This window comes from Homo sapiens, chromosome 5 (assembly GCF_000001405.40).
Source record: "Homo sapiens chromosome 5, GRCh38.p14 Primary Assembly".
Classification (NCBI taxonomy): domain Eukaryota; kingdom Metazoa; phylum Chordata; class Mammalia; order Primates; family Hominidae; genus Homo; species Homo sapiens.
This window is the reverse complement of record NC_000005.10, coordinates 73,190,171-73,206,147: the sequence shown is the minus strand read 5'-3', so window position 1 is coordinate 73,206,147 and position 15,977 is coordinate 73,190,171. Positions and strand designations below refer to the sequence as shown.

The following is a 15,977-nucleotide window of genomic DNA, read 5'->3' as shown; positions in this document are numbered from 1 at the left end:
ACAGGCTCAGAATAGGTAAGTAAATTACCCAGAGCTAAACATTAATAGTTGATAGGTGGAGAGAAAGGATACAAACTCAACTTCAGTGGATTCCAAAGCCCTTACTGCTTCCTCCACCCCTTCTCAGAGAGCAGCCACGGCAATGCTGGCTCAGTCAGAGAATTGCCTTTTCGTGGGGATTCCTGCCATTGTAGGTAGTGAGCCATAGTCAAACCACTGGTTGGAAAGCCCTTTTTGGTTGCAAATAAGATTGGGATTAAATTTTCCTCAGTGGCATAATCAGAAATTCTTTATTGGTAAACTGGACTTAGGTTCAGTTAATGCACAGAACTGTGCATTGCTTTATATGATAAAACATCAATTTTAAAGCACAGGATGGAGGAGATTCAGTGTCTATGACCAGCAGCAACTCCGCCCTGTGCTGGCTACACAGAAGCCCCACTTTCCTTGGTGAGGGGTAAGGAAGGCAGCAGGGAAGACCTGGCTGATGTCCTCTTTGCCTGGATCCAGTGAATCTCAACCCCAGCTGCACATTGCAATCACCTCAGAAGCCAGAGACACATGCACGTGGCCAGGCCCCACCTCAGCCAGTTAAACTCCACCCTGTAGAGTGGGGCCTGGGCCCCAAGGGACTACTCCATCTCCCCAGGTGGTAGATGCCTGCTGCCAGAGTGTGTGCTTATCTGGATGTGCCAGCCTGTTGGCGCAGAAACCACAGGACCTACAGGAGTCCCTGAGTGCCTCTCACAGAAGAGCATGCGACAGCCTCATTCACAGGGTGCTAGTGGCTGGTAAAGCACAGCAGACCTCTCCCTGGAAGGGTGCATTTTGAGGTGACCAGCATCCTCATTTGCCCAGGGCTTTGCAGGTAAAGGATGCGTTCCTAGGATGTGAGACTTTAAAGTGCTAAAATCAGAAAACTCTCAGGCATTTTGACAGGGAACCACAAGTCTGAGGTCCCCAGGAATAAACTGTCATGGTTAGATGGTAGAACTCTGCATCAGAGAAAGGGTGTGTGTGTGTGAGCGTGAGAGTGTGTGTGTGTTGCACCAATATGTGCATGTGGGTGTATGTGTGCGCATCTGCACCCATTTGTGCATGTGTGAGTGTGAGAGTTTGTGTATGCATGGGTGTGTGACTTGTTCAAGTGTGTTCATGTGTGTGAGAGCATGAGTTGTATGTGTGTGAGAGAGTACAAGAGAGATTTTGTGTGTGAATCTGAGAGTGTGCGAGTGTTGTATGAATGTGTGTGTGAGTGTGCATTAGTGTGTGGGAGTGTATACATGTCCAAGAGTGTGTGTGCACATGTGTGAGAGTGGTGGGTGAGTGTGCGTATGTGTGTGTGTGTGAGTGTGAGAGCACAGACACTCTGCAGAGAGCAGATCTTGCCAGACCAGAATCGCCCCACTGCAGTGGCCTCTAAGCCTTTTGAGGGCATGTGCCTTTTGAGGGCATATGCCTCCTGAATGGGCCCTGAATCCTGCCAGAGAGCAGCTCAGAGAAGAGTTTACCCTGAGTGGTTCATTGAGCTCAGGGGTAGAAGTTGTAAATTTCTTTTGCTCTACCACAGTATAATTAGCTCCCCCTCTTGTGAGGAATGAAAGGGCCGTGTGCTTCTGACAGCTGTGGGAGCCGCCTTCCTGCCTGGATAAATCTAGTCTCCAACGATATTGTTGCACCTGTTTAAACAAGGAACAGAATAGGTATTTATTTAAAGTTCAAGAGGCCATATGAGCCATGGCCTAAATATAGGCCTGGATATAATTATAAAGATACTTAATTCTTTGTTCTGAAAGATTTTTGCAGCCCACTATTCCCTCAAAGGCTTGGGCAGCTTCCTTTAACACATGTACCTCCCAGAACGAGTAAAGGCAGGGCGTGAGAATGCCTCTTGGAGGCCAGGCATTGTGGAAGACCCCTGGCCCCAGCCCTGACCTTGCTCATCATCAGAACCACCAAGGGGAAGACTCGATAAAGGTACAGAGCTCTAGGTCCTCTCCCAGCAATCATCATTCCTGTGCTCTTGGAGTGGAGCCCAGGAATCTGTATTTTTAAGCTCCCCACATGATTCTAATGCTTACCCAAGTTTGGGAACCCTTGATCTAAGGCATGGTAGTGGGGGCGAGGGGAAGCGGTCCTTTCTGTGAGGCATTTCTGGGACCAGGTCAGGGATACTACTAATTGGTATTTACTGAGCCCTCCTCACATACAGGCACCCACCATGATTCCCATTTTCCAGATGAGGCAACTGAGCTCTTTCATTCATTTCTCTGCTGTGTACTGAAGTACCTCAAAGCAGGAGTTCACCATGTTTTTGAGGCCATGGAACCTTTTGAGACTCTAGTGAAAGCTATAAACCCTCTCACCATAAAACTGTACATGCATGGAAGATTTTGCAGTGTTGGAGGGTTCATGGAGCCCCCTAAAGCCCATCCAAGAATGCTTGATTAAGAATAGTCATCATGAAGGACATTCTCTCAGGGCAGGCCACCAACAGGCACAGTAAGCTTGATCCGTAGCAGCCTGAGGAAGGGCTTCTGGAGCACCTGCGTGTGCAGAGCACATTGAGAGATGCTGTGGGCACAGAAGTGAAGATGACATGCAATGAGCTGGAAAGACTCAACTGAACAGAAAGAGAGATAATATGAAATTCAAGGTAGTTTATGCTAAGTCCTAAACAACAGGGGCCAACAAGCCCTGCAGCTCAGGGTGGCAAGGAGTCATGCACTGTGGCCTTGGTAGGAGGGCTGAGAGGTTGGAGGTTGGGAGGTGAGGCCTGACCTGAGCTCAGCAGGCAGGAGAGAATTCTGGGCAATGGGGGCTTGGTGAACAGCATCTCTTTTTTTTTTTGAGATGGAGTTTTGCTCTTGTCACTCTGAAGTACAATGGCGCAATCTCAGCCTACTGCAACCTCTGCCTCCTGGGTTCAAGCGATTCTCCTGCCTCAGTCTCCCGAGTAGCTGGGATTACAGGCACCCGTCACCATGCCCAGCTAATTTTAGTATTTTTAGTGGAGATGGGGTTTCTCCATGTTGGTCAAGCTGGTCTCGAACTCCTGACCTCAGGTGATCCACCCTCCTCGGCCTCCCAAAGTGCTGGGATTACAAGCCTGAGCCACCACGCCCAGCTAGTGAACAGTATCTCAAAGGAGAGGACGGTTTTGGGGAGGACAGGAGAACCACTAGTAGGGCAGAGACAAGGAAAAAAAGCCTGGTCATTTGGTTTGGTTTTAAGGGATTCTGCATACGGAAGTTTTTAAAAAGGAAACGAAAGAGCAGAATAAGAAAACTATTTTTTAAATGTTCAAACGGGGTGAAAAGTTTTGTAGCCTTTTTATTTTAATTTATTCTTTTTTTTTTTTTTTTTTTTTGAGTCTTGCTCTGTCACCCAGGTGGAGTGCAGTGGTGTGATCTCCGTTCACTGCAACCTCCACCGTCCAGGTTCAAGTGATTCTTCTGCCTCAGCCCCCTGACTAATTTTTGTATTTTTGGTAGAGACGGAGTGGAAATCATGTTGGCCAGGATGGTCTCAAACTCCTGGGTTAAAAGCGATCCACTGGCCTCAACCTCCCAAAGTACTGGGATTACAGATGTGAGTCACCACGCCCACCTGTAGTCTTTAAAAAATATGTTTACGTTGAACAATTAAATTATTGAAACACAAAACATGCTATATAATTGTTCTGTTCAGAAAAAATATTACAGAATTTACAAAAAATATTAACTCAGTTCCCCACAAGCAATGTAGTCCAGTAACAGGGCCAGAGATAAAGTTGCAACCTCTGTCAGCTTCTATGGGACCGTGTCCATAACCTCATTTGCAGATGAGGTCTAACTTCGAAGTGTAACCTCTTTGTGAAAGCAGAGTTTCAGGCCAGCAGTCCTCCTGCCGCCCTCCCTCCCTCCCTCCGCCCTGTGATAGGCCCTGCGAAAGGCTCTGCCTTAGAGTGGGGAGGGTCTGTGCCGGGATGTGTCCCTTTGGGTCCCATTGGAGAGGGCTCTGGGGCCCCGCTAGCGTTTCCTCCTTTGTCCTGTAGGGGGAGCCGCTGCAGTTTCGCGGGAAGTCGGCCCGGCGGAGGGCAGAGCCCTGGGCGTGGAGGAAGCTGGAGCCAGGGGAGACTGGCAGGAAAGGATCACGTGGGCCAGCGAGAGGAGAGCCTGGACAGGGGCCAGCAAAGGGCGAACTTCTGCAGACGAGGACTATCCAGCCCTAGGGGTACGGGAGAGGGAAAGACGAGGCCGAGAGGGACCCTGACTTTGCAGCAGGGTGTCTGGGCATTGGTGGCTCCACCTGCAGAACCAAAAGAATCCACCAGGTCTGATGGGCAAAGGTAACAAACTCGGCGTGAGTCCTGCCTCGCTGCGTGGGTCGTCTCAACTGTGCTTCCTGCCGAACGCCCTAGTAGCTCCCTAAAAGATGGGTGCTGCGGGCAGGGTCCCCTGCGCGCCTGCCACCGTATTCTCTCTGAAGAGGGTGCAGGTTCTGAGAAGCACCTGCTTTTTTCAGCTAGGGAGGTCCTGATCTTTTTGCTCTTGTCCCAGGACATGGCATCATAATGTGAGACTTAGATTCTTGAAATTGGGAAGGGATTTCAGCAACTCGAGGGCAAGTTGCAGATATATGCAGGTGAAAGTCAATCATAAGAAGACAAGGCCAAGAGTGAATCTGTAATGTGAATGTTAGGTGTGGGCAGAAATATGAAATGTGCTGGCTGGAATGGACCTTTACTTTTCAGGAATAGCAGGAATTAACATAGAAAGAGGTTTATGTGGAATTAGAAGGAAGAGTGGAATCAGATATCTATTTCCCATAGTGGTCCAGTTTGCTATGAGTTTCAGAAATGCACATCACCACGATCTGGTATCGTGAAATGATTTCTTAGGTAAATAAGATGGTTTTCTGTTTCCAAATATAATATATATATATATATTTTTGAGACGGAGTTTCATTCTTTTTGCCCAAGCTGGAGTGCAATGGCACCATCTCGGCTCACTGCAACCTCCGCCTCCTGGATTCAAGAGATTCTTGTGCCTCAGCCTCCCGAGTAGCTGGGACTACAGGTTCACGCCACCATGCCCAGCTAATTTTGTATTTTTAGTAGAGAAAGGATTTCACCATGTTGGCCAGGCTGGTCTCAAACTCCTGGCTTCAAGTGATCTGCCCGCCTCAGCCTCCCAAATTGCTGGAATTACAGGCGTGAGCCACCACGCCCAGCCCCAAATATAATTTCTTTGCATAAAAATGAGCTTACTAAACAGACTCGGAAATTATTGTGAGATCCTATAACCCATTTTAAAAAAACAATTGAAAACATGCTGCATGTCTGATTTCCCATGTTGAGACAAAGCTACATATGACCACTTTTGAAGAACAATAGCAATATAAAGGTACATTTAGCTCTATTCTCATTTAAAAACGCTGTTATTTTAATTGACAAAACTTCACTGCTGGATTTCATTCTCCGTTTTGCACGGAACTTCCTTAGTCCTCACAAGTATGGTGTTTTAATTATATGTTTTTGTATTGACTGGTAAAAAGAACCAAACTCCATCCTGTCTCGTCCAGAACAACTCAAAAAAAAAAAAATGATGCTGTCATCTTCAATTCTCTTCTCTTGTAAGTTTTGCTCAGAAATGGGATATGTGCTGGAGTCTGCTATAATCACTGTGGTAGCAACACTGAGTGTTTCTGGCTTGTCAGGTCCTGTTCTAAACTATATACATTAACAGATTTAATGCCAAAGCAACACTTTGAAGAAGATAGACTATTATACTATGTAGAGATGAGGGAAGTGAAGCAAGAGTATAATGCCTAAAGTCACTGAGCCAGTAGACAGCAGAACCAAGTTTGAGATCCAGCCCATCTGATTCCCGGGTTCTCGCTCTTAAGCACTCCAGCATTGTGTCTATCATTCCAGAACTCAAGAAATGCCCTTCGTTTGGTGGAGCACAGGGGCTCTGAGCTCTGGGAATTATAACTGATTAGATCTCAACATAGGCCCAAATGTCAACAGATTTTTCTTTCTGGTTTGTGGGAGTTTCAAAGCAAATAAAGCCATCACCTGGTGTATAAGTGACAATCGCCTCAAGGCCCATGTAACTTCCCTGGTGTGTCTCCCCTGTGTTTCTCAGAAAGGACTCAAATGATATTTTTTCATTACATTTCCTTGGATGTCCACTGTGGGGACAAGAGTTACTTTATTTTAAATGCTAATCCGCCTGACTAACCCCGACTCCGGGAATGCCTCCAAAATGTCAAGTTGTATTACTCTTTATGTAGGAACATCTATTCACTCTCAAGTTTCCTCCAAAACAATCCTTGGTGCTGTTGCAGAAATCATAGGATGTGATGCCTGTAGCCACCTATGTATTCTTCCAGAGTGCACATACTTTCACCAAGATAAAAGCCCTGGGTCTGTGGGCAGTTGCAGTGCGGAGATCTATCTCAGTCTTATGGTTGTCTGCCTCATTCTTGAGTTTCTTGGCTCCTTCAGCATTTGGGGGTTGCTTTGCATATATGGCCATTTCAAGGAAAATCCACTCTGTATCAAATGTAGGAACAGTTCCTCATCTTAGAAGTGAGAAAAACCAGCTCAGAACAAGGAAGTCAAGGTAGAACTTCTCAGAGTTGAACATGGGGAGAGTGTCTTAAACCCTGACAGCCTAGGCTGACAAGAGCAATTCATTTAGGTTCCTCCCTGCAGGAGGCATGACTAGTGTTTAGCAATATCCTCATCTTTCCTGCTTCCTGGGTGTGCACTAGCATCGACTTCTCAGATCCCTTGTAGCTAGGCAGAGTCATGTGGCTAGTTCTGTTCAGTAATGTGGATGGAAATGTCACACATTGCTTCTGGACTGAGACAGTGAAAACCCCTGTGTGGTTTTCCAGGTTCCTCCTCCCCTGCTGCAGCTAACATGGAGGACTTGCATGGAGATGGTGGAGTCACAGGATGAACACAGGCTAAGTCACTACCTGGAGGACAGCTGCCTGGACAGTCACCTGGATCGCAGTGGACTGCATGAATGAAAACAAAGTGAGATTGAAGAGAATGAAAACAAAGTGAGATTGAAGAGTTATTTGTTACTGCAGCAAAACTTGGCCTACCCTGATATACTCACCTCTCTTTGTCCCCTAGGTTTCCTTTTTTGGTATAGGCAGTTTGCCAACCCCCTACATTCTCAGTCTGATTTCCTCATCCCAGTCACCATGGGAGGCAACTGCTACTGATCATTGCACAGACAAGGAAATTCAGGTCACAGCAATGAGAGCCAGAGAGTCAATTCGGCAAGGTCTCTGTCTTACTCTGCATTCTTTACCTCCTTCCCACTGCCCATCTCCTTCTGGGCTCCCCACCCAGTCCTTTGTGGGATGCAAAGGGTGAAAGGGATTGGAAGACTCAGGAGCCATGAGGCCCAGGTCCCACCACAACCTTGATGATGCCAAAAGGGGCAAGAATAGAAAAAAATCTGCCCTACTGAGGTGGGCATCTGCTTTCCCCCACCTCAGGAAAGAGGGCAGCAGTGTCCTCCTGAAGGCTGTGACTTCCTAAAGTCTGTGAGGGTTTAATGTGGAAATATCATGGAAGGGAGCGGGAGGGAACATGCCTTGAGATGAGGGAGTAGCCCGATCCTGAGAGAGGGTTCTGACTTCTCCCAGACTTAGAGAGGGGAACAGAGGGCCAGGGAATATGAGGAAGTTGAGATTTGGCAGCTAGTAGATGCCAAGCCTGGAGTCAGTGAGGGGAGGAGAGCTGTGAGGGCCTCCCTGAGCCTCCTAGCAGTGCCTGACAGACAGGCAGGGAGGCCTGGGGTCCGCCAAAAGCACAATGGTAAAGGCAGCAACCCCAAGGCCAAAGGCTGTGCCCCTTTCCCTCCCATGTTCTAGCCTCACACAAGCCCAGAATTCTCACAGGCTCCCCGGATTGGGAAAAGCAGTACTCTGATTTTTTGGAGGCTAAATTTTGTTTCGGGGAACTAAAGGAATGTCACATTTCTTAAATTTTATATTGTGCCTTCAAGGATGTGGTTGACTACATGGTCACGAGACCTGTGCCATCATACAGAGCCCCACACTTAAAATAGCCCACAGTGGTTTACTGGTCTGCTGTCACCACCTTGAAACTCTTAATAACTTTTGAACAAGGAACCCTACATGTTCGTTTTGCACTTATGTGCAAATTGTGTGGATAGTCCTGCTAAAATTTATGCCTCCGCCATCCCCATGTGGCAGAAGTTTCAAGAGCCTTATACCTTTAGGGGAAATCCTCACTAAGCAAGCTTGAGCAATTGATGAGAAGGTTAACCACAGCCAAGCCCACTACACTGCTACATGCATCATGACCACCTCATGTTTGCTCGTGCTGTCCTATCTCTGTAATACTCCTTTGATGAAGGGGTTGGTTACAAACATCGTTTTCATGAAAATAGAACCAAATATAAACTTAATATGTATTAATATAAAGCTAAATATGAAAACCACGGTGGCACATAGAAGGGGTAGCTGAAATGAAACAAAGCTGCTCAGGGGGATATTTCTGGGTGAATTCCAATGGAGAGGGCTCCAAAGTGCAAGAGAGCCCTGAGCACTAATATATGCATCACAGTGTCCCCGGCTACCTCGAAGCAACCAGCCCTCACCTAGTGCTGATAGCTTGGAGTGTTTCTCTCTGCAGATGCAGCCCCCTCATGTTCCTTGGCCTTTCATTTGCATAGATCTTCAGAAGTTATAAATCACTCTGGAGTCTTTGTATGTATTTGGGACTGAATAATTTGCTTTTGAGGCTGTCAGATCCTGACCTTTGTAATTTCTCTGCAGTTTGTTCCCAGGTTCTTGGGGCTTGAAAAGATCCCTTTATGGAGTGAAGCCACTTTTTCTCAACGTTCTGAAACTCACGCTGCTCCAGCCTGAGGCTTCCAGAAGTGCCCTACAGGTGCCTGAGTGTGTGGGCCTGCTGCCTGCAAGTGCACCCGGGGAGTGCGGGGTTTGGCGTTTACAGATGTGACCAGGGGCTAAGAGACTGGGGCGCAGCCTCTCCCCAACACGGACTCTATTTCCCCACACGCTCACTTCCCCTCCCTCAACTGCAGTCTTCTTTCTCTATAACTAACACAGGGATCACTGCCTCTATTTTCTTAGAGGTATTGTTCATCGCTCACCCCTCACGCAGTAAGTATGTGTTCAGGCACAGAGCAAAGGGCTGAGAGAAGGGAGCTGCTGTGGGTGCCTTCAAGGAACTTACCACAGCAACAGTTAACAGCAGCAGGAAGATATTGTTAAGTGTTTTCTGTGTACCAGTCACTGTTCTAAGCATCTCTCATGGATGATTCTGTTTAATCCTCAAAATGACCCTTGGAAGTGGGCATTCCTATTATCCCCTTTTAACAGATGAGAAAAATACAACACTGAAAAGCCAAAGAAATTCACTCTGGCTAGCAAGCGTTGGAGGCAGAATTCAAAACCAGGCTGAGTCCAGCAGTATAATCCCACTCGTGCTACCTAGAAAGCTCATTACAGCAAGGGCCCCAAGCAAGGGTACATCCTGACACTCACTGAGAAATGTGGGATGTTTAGACATGAAGGGAGCTTGGGGGTAGCAGCCTCATGGAAGATGGTAATGAGGCCTAAAACCATCCCCTAAAGGCAGGGAAGCATGGGCACTCCTAACCTCCCAAGGAGTGGCCAGATAAGGTTGGGGCCCTTTGGTAACCAATCCAGTCCAGGGACACAGGTGAGCAGTCAATGAAGAGGCACCATTCTGAGTCTGCCCAGAACAGGTGACTCAGATTGTCCAGCCCATCCAGGGCCACTAGCTGTGCTTCTAAAGGAGAAGGTGCTAACAATGGAAAGAAAGTCCACGAAAGACCTACTCTTTCAGAAGCTTGAAGGAAACCAAGAGGAGAGCTTGCTCTGCTTTGTGCCCTAATGGTGGAGTTTTAAGGCAGATGAGGACAGAGTCTTTCCTCCAATTGACTGGAACAACTGTCAGAGCTAAACCGAGGAGTGGTCACATCCCAGTGCATGAGAGGAGGTAGAGTGTGAACATCATGAAATTGCCAATGCGATAGGTCACAAACAGTAGAATATTGCCAGTTTCATTTGTTCATTCTAGTTCACCCTGGTTGGCAGCAGAGCATTTGGCTGTAGCCGGTACAAGGTGGGTTGACACAGTGGTCTTAGGTAAGTGCAGGGAGCAGCCCACATGGGGAGGGCAGAGACATTGGATCAGAGCAGAGGACAGATAGGGCACACATGCATGAGCCACCCCAAAGAGCCCTTGAACCTAAAGGAAGGAACTGTCTGTGGCTGCTGCATTTCCTTGAGCAGGAGCTGGAGGCTGAGACCAATGTCCTGTGAACATTGTTCAGACCCTGTTCTGAGTGTTGCGGCTGGGGAATGTGGGTTATACCAACACTCAGGCAGAGGTGGCCACCAACACCAGGCACCCGTGGGCTGGGTGATCAGGAGAGGCTCCTGGGAGGAGGTGTACCTGGGGCTAAGCCTTCAAGGATAGGTGGGAATTAAAACAGGTTCAGAGAAGAGGAGAAGTTTTAGACCAGAGAAACCTAAAATTCTAAAGGCAGTTTGAAATAGAGGAGTCACAAAATAGTATGGCTACTATGATTCCTTTTTTGTTAAAAGTATAAGTGAATATATACACACACATACAGACACTCATATTATATATATAGAATGATGGAAGGAGGAACATATAACAAAATTTTAGCTATTTTGTCATTATAGGGTGGTTTTTTTTTCCTTCTTTGTGCTCATTTGCGTTTTCTAATTGTTCTACAGTAAGCATATATTACTCCTATGACTTTTTTTAGAGGATAAGGAATAAAGGTTGCTCTGAATCTCATCAGTGTGTAAGATGGTTCAGGTATGAAGCAATATCTGACTGTAAGTTAGAATTCTCTCAAGGTATTACAGAAATAGGGAACTTCATTAATTTCTACAGCTTCTAGTATATATGACATAATGGCTAAGAGGACGTAATCTGAAGGTTTGATTCTGTCTCCACAGCTTGCTAGCTAGTCACATGGAACAGTGGTAATACCTGCCTCTCAGGCTCCCTGTGAGGATTCAACGGGATAGTGTATGCGAGACACCTGCCGCATGGGAAGCACGCAACACATGTTAGCTATTAATAGTGACACCTCTCTCTCTCTTGCTCTCTCTCTCTCTTTCTCTCCTTCCCTCTCACACACCCCCAGAACGTTATTTGAACACTGCTCTCAGCCATCCACATGACAGTGTTGTCATAGACCAACCAGCGTTTCTCAAATGTTGACGTGCAAACAGATGACCTGGAGATCTTTTTTTTTTATTGTTTTGTTGAGATGGAGTCTTGCTCTGTTGCCCAGGCTGGAGTGCAGTGGCGTGATCTTGGCTCACTGCAACATCTGCCTCCCAGGTTCAAGCAATTCTCCTGCCTCAGCCTCCTGAGCAGCTGTGATTACAGGTGCGTGCCACCACGCCCGGCTAATTTTTGTACTTTTAGTAGAGACAGGGTTTCACCATGTTGGCCAGGCTGGTCTCGAACTCCTGACCTCAAATGATCCACCCCTCTCGGCCTCCCACAGTGTTGGGATTACAGCCCCATGCCCAGCCAACCTGGAGATCTTGTTCAAATGAAGGCACTGACTCAAAAGGCCTGGAGTGGAGGCAGATTCTGCATTTCTAACAGGCTCCTGGTGATGTCCTGCTGCTGGTCAGGAGATCACACTTTGAGATGTGAAGTCAAGGATGCGTTAATATCCTTTTAGGACTTCCAGGAACAGAATGCCCTTAAATGTGTTTAGATAGAACCTATCCTGTGGATTCCATTCTCTCTTAAGTAGCACTATGTCATCCTGTTCATCTATACACATAGCCACCTACTATGTGTAAGACCCTATGCACTTGTTACAATACAGGGCCCTGACCTTAAGGAGCTTGTATTCAGCATCTCAATGCACATGTAGGTGGCCCAGGAAACTGATCCTGGGCACTCAGTGAGAACTGCCTACAACAAATGAGAGCAACACTCCAGAGTCTATTGTAAATTCCAAAGAGAACTGAAGTCCAAATACTTACTTTGAAATGTTGAGGATGAGCACGTGCTCCAGATGCAGGGTTGCATTAATACATCTTAACTTTACAATGAGAGTTACGTCTATCTATATAAATACCTACTCTCTTAGGACATGTGATATTGTGGCATATTGCCACGTTTCCATAGTGGCAAGTTTTTCTCATTCCTTGTTAGTGGAGGAACCACGGGTTGAGACATGGAAGTCACCTGGAACATAAGACACAGGCTTGCAGTGCACCACACCACTGTGTCCATTGTTTAAGGAACATGTTGGTCTCATCTGGCTGCCTCTTGTGGGACTCGCAGCTCCTGCCTTATTCCATTTGAAGATTACTATTTGCTATGGAAAAAGTGATGTCAAATTTATGGGGTGGGGCTTGGGGCCATGAACAAACACAAAATAGTTGACCCCACAGGGTAGGAGTTATTATTAGGTTTAGGAGTCGCCACCTTATGTGGGTCACCCACCCCAGGCCCTGCTTTTTGGGTGGAGCAGTCTGGCAAGGTGTGGGGTGGTACACTTGGCAGAAAGTGTCTGTTCTAAATAGCACAGGTGAATTGGCACAGGTATATCATCCCTACTGAAACAGGACATGATCTACCTGCAGGAACAATGGGAGAAAAAGTGAGAGGTGACTTGAAGTGGCACACTAAGACAAGTGATCAAATGTTAGAATAATTTCAAGGATGGCTATTGCCCTAGAAAGCAAGAACCCTCCAGAACTAGTTTCATCCTTTCTATACTTTCACCACAGGCTAAGCATGGTATCCCCAGCCTTATCAAGTCAAATTTTAAACTGCTTAATGCCACCTCCCTCTGTCCACCCCCACATCATGCTGATTTTATAAGGAGATTGCCTGTATTTAAATCCAGCTCTATTACTTACTACCTGTGTGTACCTGTGTGAAAACTGGTAAGGTTTTTTTGTTTGGTTAGTTTTTGGTTTTTGAGACAGAGTCTCGCTGTGTTGCTCAGGCTAGAGTACAGTGGTGTGATCTTGGCTCTCTGCAACCTCCACCTCCCAGGTTCAAGCAATTCTCGGCCTCAGCCTCCTGAGTAGCTGGGGTTACAGGCGCTCACCACCATGCCTGACTAATTTTTGTATTTTTAGTAGAGATGGGGTTTCGCCATGTTGGCCAGGCTGGTCTCACACTCCTGGCCTCAAGTGATCCACCTGCTTGAGCCTCCCAAAGTGCTGAGATTACAGGTGTGAGCTATTGTGCCTGGCCCCAAGAGCTCTTTTTGGAGTTAAGAAATTTCCATCAAGTGAGGACACTTTGGAAGGAAAACTCCTGGAAAATAGGGCTTTCCCGGCATCCTTGGAGTTGAACAGAGCTGAAGTTGGCCAGAACTGCCATGGGAAACCATGGGAGAATTTACTAAGAGAGTCTTTAGTCCTAGATCACAGGGAGGGGAGATATAAACAGGACTGCCCATATCACGTGCTAATTATGTCCCAGGCATTATATCCTTTGATTCTCCCAATAAACCTATGCCATAAACAGTAGCATCAATTTCATTTCACAGATGTGGACATTGACACTTTACCGAGGGCAAGAACCTTGCCCAAGTGTATTAGTCCATTCTCCTACTGCTATGAAGAAATACTTGAGACTGAGTAATTTATAAAGAAAAGACGTTTAATTGACTCACAGTTCCACATGGCTGGGGAGGCCTCAGGAAACTTACAATCATGGCAGAAGGTGCCTTTTCACAGTGCAGTAGGAGAGAGAATGAGTGCCAGCAGGGGAAATGCCAGACGCTTATAAAACCATCAGATCTCATGAGAACTCACTCATTAGCTCTAGAACAGCATGGGAGAAACTGGCTCCATGATTCAATTACCTCCCACCAGGTTCCTCCCACAGCACGTGGGGATTATGGGGATTATAATTCAAGGTAAGATTTGGGTGGGGATGCAGCCAAACCCTATCATCAAGGCTATATATAGCACAGTGGTAGAGCAAAACTTTGAGCCCATTTTGACTCCGGAACTTATTTTCTTAATCACTATTCTAGGTCCTTAAAGAAAAGGACTGAACTGGAACCTTACAGTTCAAATATATCCTGCTAAAAGTATTAGTTATCTCCTGATCCATGAAACAAGCACACATCATGGCCCGGTGATAGAGAGCCTGTCAGATCAGGCTGTGGGGAACAGGAAGGAGACCAGGCTCGCCCTGCTGGTTTTCACTGGTGAAGGCAGTAAAATCGGAGATAGACCGGAGCCTGCAATAATACCACTGCCACCATTTATGGAGCGCCGTGCTAAACAGCAGCTGAGTCTCACAGCAACATTAAGAGGCTGGGACTATTAACCCCACTTGTCGGATCAAAGAGACAGAGGCATGACAATTTTCAGGGACGTGTTCACAGCCACTCAGCCAGTCAGGGGCCAAGTCTTTTGGCTACAGGAAATTGGCTGCTCTGCTCCTACTGCCTGTGGACCAGAGACCTGGTGACTGCACATGAGTGTTAGGCCACCCGAGGACCCAGACTGTGAACTCAGCCTGCATTCTGGCTCACCAGGACAGTTTCGGGAGCCCTCTTTGACTATTGCCTTTGACAAGGCTGAAGATGGGCTAAGACCAGAATCCTCAACCAAATTTAAAACTACTTAAGCTTGGAATATTCCGTTCTTTTCTGTGGCTGTAAGTCTCCCTCTCAGCACCCAGAGCCTTTCTCCTGACTGGTGGCTGCCTGCATGGTTTGCCAACGCAGCATCCACTCTGCATTTGTTCCACAAAGCGCTGCTAAGTGCCTCCTTTGTGCCTAACACTGGGCCTTTGGTGGAGATCAGACGGCCATTTGACCTGGGGCCCTACCTTGAGCAAGGATGAGGCCACATTGGAAATGCTGATTTTGCCCATAAACTCATGCTCCAAGTTGTTTCACAGTAATTAAAAATTCAGCAAAGGAAAAAAAATTCCCAGCAGACACCATAGGTGGGAAACCTCTGTGTAGAAGCTGGTGAAAAACCAATCCTCCAGTTCTAATGGCACCTGGATCTGAGAAAGAAAGGGACTTGGACTCCACAGACAGGGGGCAGAGACTTTATGAGTCATCCCGGTGAGGATAATGGGCATTGAAACACGGCTTTGCAAACTCTGAAGTGATGCATGAGTGTTTGTTGGTTGCTATTTTAATTACATAAAATACATATCTAAGACAATATCCAAGAAATGAAGATTAGGAACTAGAGCAGATTAACAGGAGAGAAATCTGGGATCATGTAAACTGTTCAGGAGCCCCAAATAATAGAATGTCTTATTTTTTTTTTTACCCAGTCTACAGGCAACCCTAGTCACAGGAGGCTGGTGTGAGGGCCACTTTCTAGATTTCCTTTTGACATGTCTTTTTTTTCCTAGAAGGCATCCCCATCTCCCTATTGTCCTCTGCTAACTCTTTGCATCTCCACCTCCACCTAGGACTATGAAATATGTCTTTGCAGGTCATACTCAGCACAGCTACAGGGAGTGCCATTCACATCAAAGTCTACATGAATGAGACCACTGGGCCTTAAACTCAGCTGCATGTTGGAAACATTTGGAGGAAATTTAAACATTATTGATGTCTTAGTCCCTCCTCCAGGTTGTCTGATGTAATTGTTCTGAGTTGCATCCTGGCTTGGGATTTTTTTAAATGCCCAAGTAATTCTAATATGCACCCACCATGTTTGAGAACCAGTAAATTAGACTATGCTGTGAATGGTGCCCACTGAGGATGTGTGGTAGATAGTCTGCATAGCCCTTCAGATGAGCCCCGCCCACCCCAGCTGGCCTGATGCAATCCCCAGTGACCTGAACTTGCTAATGGAACAGATCACAGACTAAATACATACCTCTCTGCCTTTTACGTTGTTTTCCCTTGGGTCGGGATTGGGGTTTGGGAAAGTGTAGGGAC

The 15,977-nt window shown here is 46.7% G+C and overlaps 1 long non-coding RNA gene across 1 annotated transcript; it reads left to right on the top strand.

Moving 5' to 3' along the window:
• Window positions 1–4,186: 4,186 nt before the first annotated feature.
• Window positions 4,187–10,858, top strand: LOC340090 (uncharacterized). The gene is made up of 3 exons (NR_134291.1): window positions 4,187–4,330; window positions 6,889–7,059; window positions 8,815–10,858. It is a non-coding gene; the product is annotated as an uncharacterized LOC340090 (long non-coding RNA).
• The last annotated feature ends 5,119 nt before the right edge of the window (window positions 10,859–15,977 follow it).